General features: G+C 43.4%; 1 protein-coding gene across 27 annotated transcripts in view; it reads left to right on the forward strand.

Annotated features, from left to right (window-relative positions):
- Positions 1-12,052, forward strand: part of PDE8B (phosphodiesterase 8B) — a 341,542-nt gene that overhangs the window by 301,413 nt on the left and 28,077 nt on the right. The window lies entirely within an intron of this gene.

Raw genomic sequence — 12,052 nt, forward strand, 5'->3', positions numbered from 1 at the left:
AGTTGTGATCCTTTGGAGGAGAAGAGGTGTTCTGGTTTTTGGAATTTTCAGCCTTTTTGCGCTGGTGTCTCCCCATCTTCATGTATTTATCTACCTTTGGTCTTTCATGTTGGTGACCTTCAGATGGAGTCTCTGAGTAGACGTCCTTTTTGTTGATGTTGATGCTATTCCTGTCTGTTAGTTTTCCTTCTAACAGGCCCCTCTGCTACAGGTCTCCTGGAGTTTGCTGGAGATCCACTCCCGACACTGTTTGCCTGGGTATCACCAGTGGAGGCTGCAGAACAGCAAAGATTGCTCCCTGATCCTTCCTCTGGAAGCTTCAGCCCAAAGGGGCACCAGCCAGATGCCAGCCAGAGCTCTCCTGTATGAGGTGTCTGTCGGCCCCTACTGGGAGGTGTCTCCCAGTCAGGATACATGGGGGTCAGGGACACACTTGAGGAGGCAGTCTGACCTTAGCAGAGCTTGCACGCTGTGCTGGGAGATCCGCTGCTCTCCTCAGAGCTGTCAGGCCGGGATGTTTAAGTCTGCTGAAGCTGTGCCCACAGCTGCCCCTTCCCCAACATGCTCTGTCCCAGGGAGATGGGGGTTTTATCTATAAGTCCCTGACTGGGAATGCTGCCTTTTTTTCAGAGATGGCCTGCCCAGAGAGGAGGAATCTAGAGAGGCAGTCTGGCCACAGCGGCCTTACTGAGCTGCGGTGGGCTCCACCCAGTTCGAACTTCCTGGTGGCTTTGTTTACACTATGAGGGTAAAACCACCTACTCAAGTTTCAGCAATGGCAGATACCCCTCCCCACGCCAAGCTCAAGCATCCCAAGTTGACCTTAGACTACTGTGCCGGCAGCGAGAATTTCAGGCCAGTGGATCTGAGCTTTCTGGGCTCTGTGGAGGTGGGACCCGCTGAGCCAGACCACTTGGCTCCCTGGCTTCAGTCTCCTTTCCAGGAGAGTGAGTGGTTCTTTCACTGGTGTTCCAGGCAGCACTAGGGTATGAAAAAAAAATCCTGCATCTAGCTTGGTGTCTGTCCAAACGGCCGCCCAGTTTTGTGCTTGAAACCCAGGGTCCTGGTGGCATAGGCACCAGAGGGAATCCCCTGGTCTGCGGATTGCAAAGACTGTGGGAAGAGTGCTGTATCTGGGCCGGAATGTACCATTCCTCAGGGCACAGTCCCTCATGGCTTCCCTTGGATAGGGGAGGGAATTCTCCGACCACTTGTGTTTCCCAGGTGAGGCAATGCCCCACCCTGCTTTGGCTCACCCTCCGTGGGCTGCACCCACTGCCCAACCAGTCCCAATGAGATGAACCCCGGGTACCTCAGTTGGAAATACAGAATTCACCTGCCTTCTGCGGCGATCTCTCTGGAAGCTGCAGACGGGAGCTGTTCCTATTTGGCCCTCTTGTCTGCAATCCCTTCCTTGAGTTTTGACAAAGCATATAATACTGGAACCTTATCCCCATCACGATATTAAACCTTGCCGTCCCAAAAGTCCCTTCATGCCCCTTCACAGTCTATCTCTGTCCACCCATCCTGCTCGCCCCCAGAGGTGACCACTTTTCTGAATTACTTAACCATAGATTAGAGTTTGAGTGTATACTGTCACGGTTGGCTTCTCTCACTCATAATGTTTTTGAGGTTCATCTTCACTGTATCATTTTTTTTCCTTTTTATTACTGAATATTCCTTTGCATCAGTCTATCGCAGTGTGGAGAATCTACTTCTGCTGATGGACTCCAGGGCTGTTTCCAGCTTTTGGCTGCTTTGAACATTCTTGGACAAGTTTTCTTGTGAATATATGCTTCTGTTTGCCTTGAGTAAACACTTAGGAGTGGGACTGTTGGGCTGCGTAGTAGGTGGATGGCTAATTTTAAAAGAAACTGGCAGGCCTTTTTTCCAAAGTGGTTGTACAATTTTATACTCCCTCCAACTATGTATGAGAGTTCCAGTTGTTCCATAGCCTTGACAAAACTTCTTTTTAATTTTAGACATTCTGGTGGGTGTGTAGATAAATAGGATTTTTAAATGATTAAGAGACAAATGACCCTGAAATCATGCACACATACACACAAATACCTAACTCAGAATTAATAGTGCTTTTTAGAACCAAGCAAAATCAGATGTTTGTAAACAAAGCATTTAGCACAAGGACAGCAAAATTTGTGGCAACTTATAATATTTTGAAGTAATTAAGGGTTTGAAATTATTTTTCTCCCTGAAACAAGCTGTAAGCCTCCAAGGACTTGCTGAGGAATCCCAGCTTCGAGCTCTGGCAAAGAGCTTCACAGGCCAAGGAGAGCAGTATTCACATTGCACAAACTAAGCACTAAAGCCTTCGGTTTCCCCAGTAACACACAAAATCAAACTTCCCAGTCACTGCTGCAAATGAGAATATTCTACATTTTATGCTTTTACAAGAGGAGAAACACACCACACTACAGAGAGACTGACTGGCATGGGGCATTGATGCCATTGAATCCCCGTCCCTTTGCTTTGAGTTAGTTTGCACATGACAAAACCTTTTGATAAGAGATACTCACACGTCCCCCCAAATTTCAAGGAAAACTGTGTTTCAGAGAGATGTCCCGCACTAATGCAGGGGGTGTTTCCTTGACCCCAGTTTAACAAGCCCGGTCCTGGCACATCCCTTCTGGGGCTTCACTGTAAACAGCAGCTTGACAGAGCAAATGGTTTTAGAGCCAAAGGGACACATTTGAAATTGGCTCTGCATACTACCTGTGTGGCTTGGGCAAGTTTCTTAACCTCTTAAACCTCAGCTTCCTTGCCTGTTCCAAGCAATGAGGATACCTCCCCTTGTGCAAGAGTGCCATCATGATTAGACTGCAGATGTCATGCTGCCAGCATGTGGGAATACACGTAAGAGATGGCTGTGGAGCAAAGTTCATCCCCTTGGCTGCCTACCGGAGAGAATGCCAAACCACAGACCCACTCATTCTGTATCTATTCTCCCAATGAGCTCAACTAAGTATTAAGGAAATAATTTTAGAATAATTTCTACTGAAATGACTGGTAAGTGTAGGGTCCACAAGAAAATTCTGATTCTAGGAGAATTTTCATCCAAGTGAATCATTAGTTGTACAGTGGGGTATCTGGAAGAGGTACGTGGATAATCAGAGTCAGCTTCAGTGAAAACCCAGCACCGCTGGGGTGTGACAGGGGAAGGTCTGCTGGCACTGCTCTCGGCACAGAGCATCATTAAGTCGGTCCCACAATAGGGTTCCTGACGGCAGATGCTGCTGCAGCCAGGAAGAGTCTCTGCTTGTAGAGCAAGGAGTTATCTCCATGCTGGGTTGCTAGCCATAGGCATGCAGAGAGCCCAGCAAAGGCAGGTGAGCCAGTCTGGGGGTGTGTTCAGCTCAAAATGCCAAATTATACTTGAAGAAGAATGGCCCAGAGCCACCTCAGCAGATGGAATTGGTACCTGTCATCCCTGCTTCTCCCTGTACCTAGTGGCTGGCATACATTTCCATCCCCAAAGCAGGATGTGCATGTGCACCTGCTGGCCTTGGGCTTTATCTGGCTCCACTCTAGACAGAACACAAAACCCATGTTGACATCGCAGGAGCTCCACGAGCCAATCGGCTGGCCCGAGGGGCAGAGGATACGCAAGAAAGGCTTTTTGTTGTGTTTTGTTTGTTTTTTGTTTTGTTTTTAAATAACATAGGGAGCCATGGGACACAGCTTCTAAAGGAGAGAGGCGTTTTGATTCAGAAAGAAAAGCTAAGCACTTAAAAATCACTTGTTTTTGTGTTAAAGCTATTTGAAAGAACAATTTGCAAGGCAAAAGTTTTATTCATTTGGTATCATATAAAAAATTCACACTATATCAGTAAGTAGCTGTATAGCAAATGGTCTTTATCCCTGAAGAAAACATGAAACATGGGAAATAAAAATGTCCCATAATTATGGGATAAATGAGTCACAGCCCTTAGTCACATTTTGACAAGGATATCACACAGGTTGGTCATGTAATTGTTTCCATAATTATGTGGAATGGACTGAGCAGAAGAGTTGGTAGAAAATCCTATTTTCACGCTTCAGTTTTATGTGATGATTTTTCAGTGGTTCAGTCAAGCTGAAACCTTTTACCTGTATCTGTCATACAGGGTGTTCTGCAGCGGACAGGCCTATGCAGACCTACCCCCCAAAGTCTGAGGAAGCTGAGAGGCCAAAGAAAGAGACTGACAACTCTAGTTGTCAGAAAGGAACATTAATAAGAACTTAAGAACAGAAGCCCTGTCTGTGTCTCTGGCAGCAGTGAGACAAGATGGTAGATCTGTGCACCATTACCCCCAGACCCAGGGCTTATATACCATACAGAAAGGGTGATTCAGAGGGATGTGTAGGACAACTGAAGTATGATAACATCAAGGTTGTTTGACCTAATGGCAGTATTTACAGTAGGTATGTGCTTTTACCCAAGGAACAATAGATAATTTGGGAATCTTTGAGGCCTTCTCAGAACTGAGGTTATTCAGAAGACAGCATGGCAGATTAGCATCCAAGATGGAGTTGCTTTGGCCTCCACACTCCAGCCTCCCAAAACCAGCTCTTAAAATCTCATGCACTCTTCCTCTTCTATGATGGTCTCTTAGCCTGTAGGGAGGGTGGCTATAGCTTTAGTAGCAGTACATTGGCAATGGAAAACAGCTCAGGCCCAGTGGGATTCCAAATGAGGGAGGTTCACAGGCTGTTGGAATCATCTCTAGTCTTAGGAATACCATGACTTCAGTTTTCTCAGAAGAAGTAAGACAATGAGAGATACTTAACATTAATAATTTGAATAGTAGAAATATAATGACACTTGAAAGAGAATTCGTATGCCAGAACAACAACAACAAAAAAAGCCTATTAGCCAACTAGAAGAACATTAAAACTTGGTTCTTCTTTAGAGACTTGTAGCCAGGAAGTAATTCAGGTTTAGCCCAAATTGTAGGCAAATAATAAAAACTCAAGAACAGTATTTCAGGTCCAGTTACAGTGGCTCACGCCTGTAATCCCAGCACTTTGGGAGGCTGAAGAGGGCAGATTGCTTCAGCTCAGGAGTTGGAGACTAGCTTGGCCAACATGGGAAAACCCTGTCTCTACTAAAAATACAAAAATTAGCTGGGTGTGGTGGCACATGCCTGTAATCCCAGCTACTCGGGTGGCTGAGGCCTGAGAATAGTTTGGACCCGGGAGGCAGAAGTTGCAGTGAGCCAAGTTTGCACCCACTGCTCTCCAGCCTGGACGACAGAGTGAGACTGTCTCCAAAAAAAAAAAAAGAAAGAAAGAAAAAGAAAAAGAGTGGTTAGGACTAGAATCTAAGTTTTTCTCTCTCCAGTTTCCCCATTTCTACCAAGGATAAATTATAGTACCTTGCTATTTCAGGAATAATGAAAAATAAAAAATAAAAAAATTACAGGACCAATTTATTTGCTTTAGTTGCAAAATAAATTTTAGTCTCACTATACTTGGCCTAATTATTTGCTTAAAGTGTAGCAAGAATAGTTATTAGTCATATAGGCTTCTTTTCAATTGGCTTTGCTGGAACTTTATAAGGAATTTTGGATTTGACATTTTAAAAGCCTTGAGACTAAGGATTCCCCATTAGACTATGCTTGTAATACCTATACATAGGTACTATACCTGTAGAAATTCCTCTCTTCTTTAGTTCCCAAAATATCTTGGTTCCTGGGCCTGTCAGAAAGTGATATTCTTTACTTACCAGAGGCCGGGAACCTTGTAAGGAACCATTTAGACAACGTACCAAGTTAGTCTTTCCAAAGGACTTTTTATCGGCTCTATAAAGTCAATGTCAATTCCTCAAAGCAGTCTGGTTATATCTGAAAATACATGATTCTAGTCAAAGCCTTGGTGAAATAACCAGTGTTTCCAATTGTGTCCTGTTACAAAACAAAACAGATTCTTACTGAATTTATGCAAACAACTACATTGCCATAAAGTAAGAATACTCATGAAAAGTTTCCAAATTCTGGAGAACTCAGGTAGAGGGAAGAAGTAAATTTTGCTCACAAAAGTATCCTTTACAATCAGAGTAGCAGTCTTCCAAACAGGATGTTGCCCGTTCATCATGGAACGGCCATCCACAAACCAAGCAGCTCTTAGTCAGGTGAGGGAGCTGTTTGTCAGGCACTGTAGAATCCAGCAGCTCCTCACACAGTTTCAGAGTCAGTCCTAGGGAAAAAAGAGGCTCTCTGCTCATGAGTATCTCCTCCTCGCACTCTTCAGGTAGCAAGATCCTATATAAACCATTTCCATTTTATCATGGGACTCTTTTTGGGCACTGTGATCCCCATCAGAGTGTTTCTCTGACATTACCCCCATATGCCCTAGTAAATGATTCACTAAGGGCTGTCAAGTGAAGAATTTATCCCTACAAGCACTCTGGCATGCTACATTCTGTGGGCTCAGGCAGTCTTATTCCCATTTAGCATATCCAATTAATATTGCTCAAAGGGCAGATTTGCATGCCTTCTCTTCTGTAGTACTAGGTAGGAAAAATGTTTCAGCAGTCAGATATAATATCCATTTTCATAAAACATTTAAGGAAAAGAGATATAACTATTTCACATAAAGACTATTTAAACATTTCAACTTTCATAATTCCATCAGCCCTTACATTTTTATGTTCTGCTTCCAGGAACTTCTCTTTTGCACCCCTAGACCATTTTACCCTCTTGTCAAAAAGGCTTTGGCTTTGCAGCAGGGGATTGAGCCAAGGGACCTGGGCACTTTGGTCAATGTGTCTTGATTAATTACCTCAACATTGCCCCAGGCAATTGTTGATCACCTTTCTCATTTTAATCTTTACCTTTTGATTTTTCAAAAAAATATTTTCCAATCTAGGGTAAATACAGAAAACTGGTTTGGGTTCCTGTAATGTTGGGGGAAAAGCAGGGGCTCACCATGGTCCATCCAGCTTTTGGTAGTGTTGTATTAAGAACTTTGTTTGAACCCTATCAATTTCCAATTCATTCAATTTCTTTTTTGAGACAGAGTCTCACTCTGTCACCCAGGCTGGAGTGCAGTGGCGCGATCTCGGCACACTGCAAGCTCCGCCTCCCGGGTTCACGCCATTCTCCTGCCTCAGCCTCCCAAGTAGCTGGGACTACAGGCACCCGCCACCACACCCGGCTACTTTTTGTATTTTTAGTAGAGAGGGGGTTTCACTGTGTTAGCCAGGATGGTCTCAATCTCCTGACCTCATGATCCGCCCGCCTCAGCCTCCCAAAGTGCTGGGATTATAGGCGTGAGCCACCGCGCCCGACCTTCAGTTTCTTAATAACCAAGATTTCCACCCTGCTGGGACAAATTCCATGACTCTCCCTTTCTGTTTTTCTTAGTTTCAACCCTTTCAATTTTTAAAAATTTACCTTTTAAAATAACTTTTAAAATTTTCACCTCGCTAGGATAAGTCCTTTGACTCTCCGTTTTGCCATTCCCTATGCTCTTGTTAATTAGCCTAATGTTTTTATTAGCATCTGTAAGACCCATGAGGGGAAGTTGAGACAGCAAATTTGAGGCTTCCTGAACTTTTAATTTTTCATCAGTAACGAAGTGCCCACGCAAAAGTCCCTCCTACCCCACCCCCACCCCCTCACCAGACACACACATGCTTAACCACAGCATTTACCATGACCTGGGTAATAGGCATATTGATGGGGTGGCTATCCCTGTCATAAAGCCAGTTCCACATGGCTTATAGACAAAGCATATCAGCTGCTTCATCTGGGGTGCTCCACGTAGCATTGGGGCCGACCCCATTCTCAGGGTAAACAGATCTGACAGAGGCTTTTATCCAGTCCACCAGGCTGGCTGTTCCCTCAGGAATAACCTCCCATGTGTCTGGATCACATATAGCCATCTGTGATTGTTCAGTAGTGAGCTGGGGATCGTGCATCAACCCAAACATGTTTTACCACTCTGCAGCATTTAAAACCAAAGACACTGCTCCAAATTAGCTACTTTCACAATTCAACAACAGGTTTTATCCAGGGAGCTGATGATGCCTATCTACAAAAGGGAACAATTCCTTCACACAGTACCCTCTGGTTTCAGCAGTTACTTGGGTTTTGCCCTTCCCCCACATTGACTACCTTCTTGGCAACCACAGGTCTCAGAGGTACTTTCTGTTGCCCTGTCATTATTTTCCCCTTTGTAGATAGCTTTGAGGCTAATGATCTGAGCTCAGACAGACCCACATTTGAGCTTGGTGCAGCCTCAAGGCCCAATCTGGCACTCTTATTTTAGCTTTTATAGAAAATAACCAAGGTACTGAATATTTCACTTTTCCTTATTGGTTTGCATTTACTTATGTATCCAGTGAACAACTCCTTAGGAGTTGGATTTTTCTCTAAATTCCACTGGTAACTCTTACCTTTTAGTAACTGAGCACAGCACAGCTACAGCTCCATACCATAGGTGACCACGTGGCCGCCCAGGAATCAATCAAAAGTTCCTCATTCTCTATCCTTTTATCCTTTCCCTTTCTATCCATCTAGTTTTATCTGTATCATTTTTCATTCATTTTAAAACAACCTTTAAATAGCCTCTAAACTATGTGGTTACTCTTCCTTTAGGCAAAAACCTCATCTTCATGTTTTTAATAAACTTCTTTATCAAAACACATCTTTCTTTCTTCACTTTCATGTAGAATTGTTTCTCTTATATTTAGTAGTTTTAATTACATATATTAACTACTACTTTAACTCGTAGTAACCCTAATTTCCATGGAAAAACCTAGGATTACTTAATTTAACATAACAGATTTTAAGATTTCAAATTACTGAAAAGAACTTTGAAACTAGTTTTATTTGAAAGATTACTAAAGTTAGGTGAACTAAAAGGCATTTGAGTTGGTTTCTATATTTCCGATAAGAAATTTTTTTTTTTTTTTTTTTTTTTTGAGGCAGAGTGTCACTGTGTTACCCAGGCTGGAGTACAGTGGCATGATCTCGGCTCACTGTAACCTCTGCCTCCTGGGTTCAAGCAGTTCTGTCTCAGCCTCCCGAGTAGCGGGGACTACAGGTGCACACCACCCTGCCTGGCTAATTTTTGTATTTTTGGTAGAGACAGGGTTTCACCATATTTGTTAGGCTGGTCTCGAACTCCTGACCTCAGGTGATTCACCTGACTTGGCCTCCCAAAGTGCTGGGATTACAGGAGTGAGCCACTGTGCCCAGCCAGAACTTACTTTTTCTTTAAGCCAAATTAGAGCTCTGTCATATATTTTGGTAATGATGTATCACATATATAACATACTAAATATATATAGACATACACACAAACAGAAGCAGCTCTTATAGACTTATAAGATTCTTCATTTGCCAGTTCTCAAATAGCTTCTCTCCCACCTTTACACAACCCACCCAAAGACATGACTCAGATGAAACAAGGTGGAGAAGATCTACATCTCTAAGGCACAGAACTTAGACCTAAACAGCATTATCTGGAAACAAGATTGCCAGGAAAAATGTCTTCTCTTCAACTTAGCTTGTTTCTTACATTACTGGCTTCAAGGTGTCAGTATATTCTTATATTACTGGCTTTAAGGAACAGGGCCAAGAAAGCATGGAAGTTTTAGGGCCTAAACCACACAATTCTTATCCAAACATGCCAAGAAATGAGTAGCCCTTATAGTAGTAACCACTTGCTTTAACAACTGCTGTCGGCCACCTCTAACAATATAGCTGTTGCCCGTGACTGCTAGCCATTAGGTACAAGGTCAGCAACTCTCACAGTAAAAAGTAATCTCTGTACCCCACCCCCCGCCTCCCCACACACTAACCAGAGATGAGATAACACAATACAAAAGAGTGCAGTTTTAGACCTGAGTAGAATCTGTCTGCTTACTACCCTTGGGTTTCATGAGGAAAAAGAGATTCTTCCCTAAAAGAGGAGTCTTTGATGCCGTCTGTTTTCCCCAAGGGATCCCAGGCTGTTGGAAATTCCTTTTTTTAGATCCCTCGTGTGGCAAGAAGTAGTAGGAACAGACAGAAGTAAATGGAGAAACAGAATTTGGTCAGAAGTTTTACAGAGAGTGCAGAGGCCTTAATACATATGTAAACATATACAGCCCAAATTTCAGTTTTAACTAAGTTTACTTTTGACTGTAGGGCCCTTAAAAAAAAAAAACCTTTTTCCTAATTGTAATTCCTAATCAAGCTGTTTTACTTTTTTTTTTTTTTTTTTTTTGAAATGGAGTCTCACTCTGTTGCCCAGGCTGGAGTGCAGTGGCACAATCTCTGCTCACTGCAACCTCTGCCTCCTGGATTCAAGCAATTCTCCTGCCTCAGCCTCCTGAGTAAGCTGGGACTACAGGCGCCCGCCACCCCACCCAGCTAATATTATATTTTTAGTAGAGAGGGGGTTTCACCATGTTGGCTAGGCTGGTCTTGAACTCCTGACCTGAAGTGATCACCCGCTTTGGCCTCCCAAAGTGCTGGGATTACAGGAGTGAGCCACGGCGCCCGACCGGCTGTTTTACTTTTGTGTCTGCTGCTGGCTGGCTCCCGCTAAGACACAGTCATCTTACCGCACTGGCTGCCTGCTGCCCTTCCGGGCCACAGTGTGATGGTTGGCACTCAGTTCACCGTCACTCTAAACCCGCTGGCATTTGGGGTCATCCCCACACTCACGGGGTGGTCCACAATCATCTGAAGTGTGAGCCACACCATTCCACATAGAAGTGGCTGCCCACCACAAGATTTCCTCCATTTTTTGGTCTCTCAGCTCCTGGCCTGGCTTACCACACGTCAGAGTGGGCAGGCCTGTGCACACCTACCCCAAAGTCCGAGGAAGCTGAGAGGCCAAAGAAAGAGGCTGATGAATCCCGTTCCTCGGAATGAAACATCTAATAGGAACTTATGAACAGAAGCCACGTCTGTGCCTTGGATGGTGGCAAGACAAGATAACGGATCCCTGTTCCATTACCCACAGACCCAGCACTTACATACCAGAGGAAAGGAATGTGTAGGACACTTGCAGAGAAAGGCAAGAATGCTATGTGAATCTGCCTAAGGGCAGGATTTATGGTCAAGGTTGTTTTGATGTAAGGGCAGGATTTACGGTAAGTACATGCTCTTCTTACACAAGGAACAGTAGATAAAATAGTAATATTGGAGGCCATCCCGGAACTGGGGTTAATCAGAAGTCAACATGGTGGATTAGCATCCAACATGGAGTTGCTTTGGCCTCCGCAGACAGGGTTTCTGGCTATTACAGTTGATGTTGCTAAGCCATATTAATCTGCCTCTGCAGATGTCCTACACACTCATCTGTCTTATTTTTCAAGTTAACCTACCCCATTCATTGAGTGGCTACAAAGATTTAATGGTCTGAGCACTTGAAAGTAGGTTGATTTAGCAGTGAAGCCGCATGATTATAAGTTTAATAGAACTAAATGTGCCCCACTAACAGTGTTGGGGTCAGTTATAAAACAAGAAATGCAGGATCCCAAAGAAAGCACACTTATTATTTCTAGTGCTAATGACTTCCTTTTGTCATTTGACAGACATTTATTGAGCATTAGCACAAAACCATTAACAACAAAAAAAATTGATAATGAGAAAGAATAGGTGGAAAACTGCATCTAAAGTTCAGATCTCATCGTGAGAAAACATTTTATAAATTGTCTATAATTGAGCATTTGAAGAGCTTTGTAGGAAATGTTTTTAACTCCTAGGCTTAAATTCAGATTATTCTGTAGCACAGAAAAATTTTATAACGTATCTGAAACAAACAGGTTATATGTTAGCCTTATAAATAACTTAAATTTAGTTATATCTTTTATCTTTCTGCATTTCTGTAGGCTGTCAAAATGAGACAGTAGCTGACTGGAGAAGTAGATGTCCTGTCTAGAGAGTATGTGCCTTGGGTACCTTCCTGCTCTCAGGCTCAGCCATTCTATAAGTGTCTGAAAGTAACAGAGCCTTTGGATTAGTACCACTTGGTGTATGTCTTTCATCTGTTCATATTATATGTGCAGCTTCTTGCTTTCTTCAAGTCTTCAGAGCTTTTTAACTAAATTGTTTGA

Source organism: Homo sapiens, chromosome 5 (genome assembly GCF_000001405.40).
Source record: "Homo sapiens chromosome 5, GRCh38.p14 Primary Assembly".
NCBI classification, from domain to species: domain Eukaryota; kingdom Metazoa; phylum Chordata; class Mammalia; order Primates; family Hominidae; genus Homo; species Homo sapiens.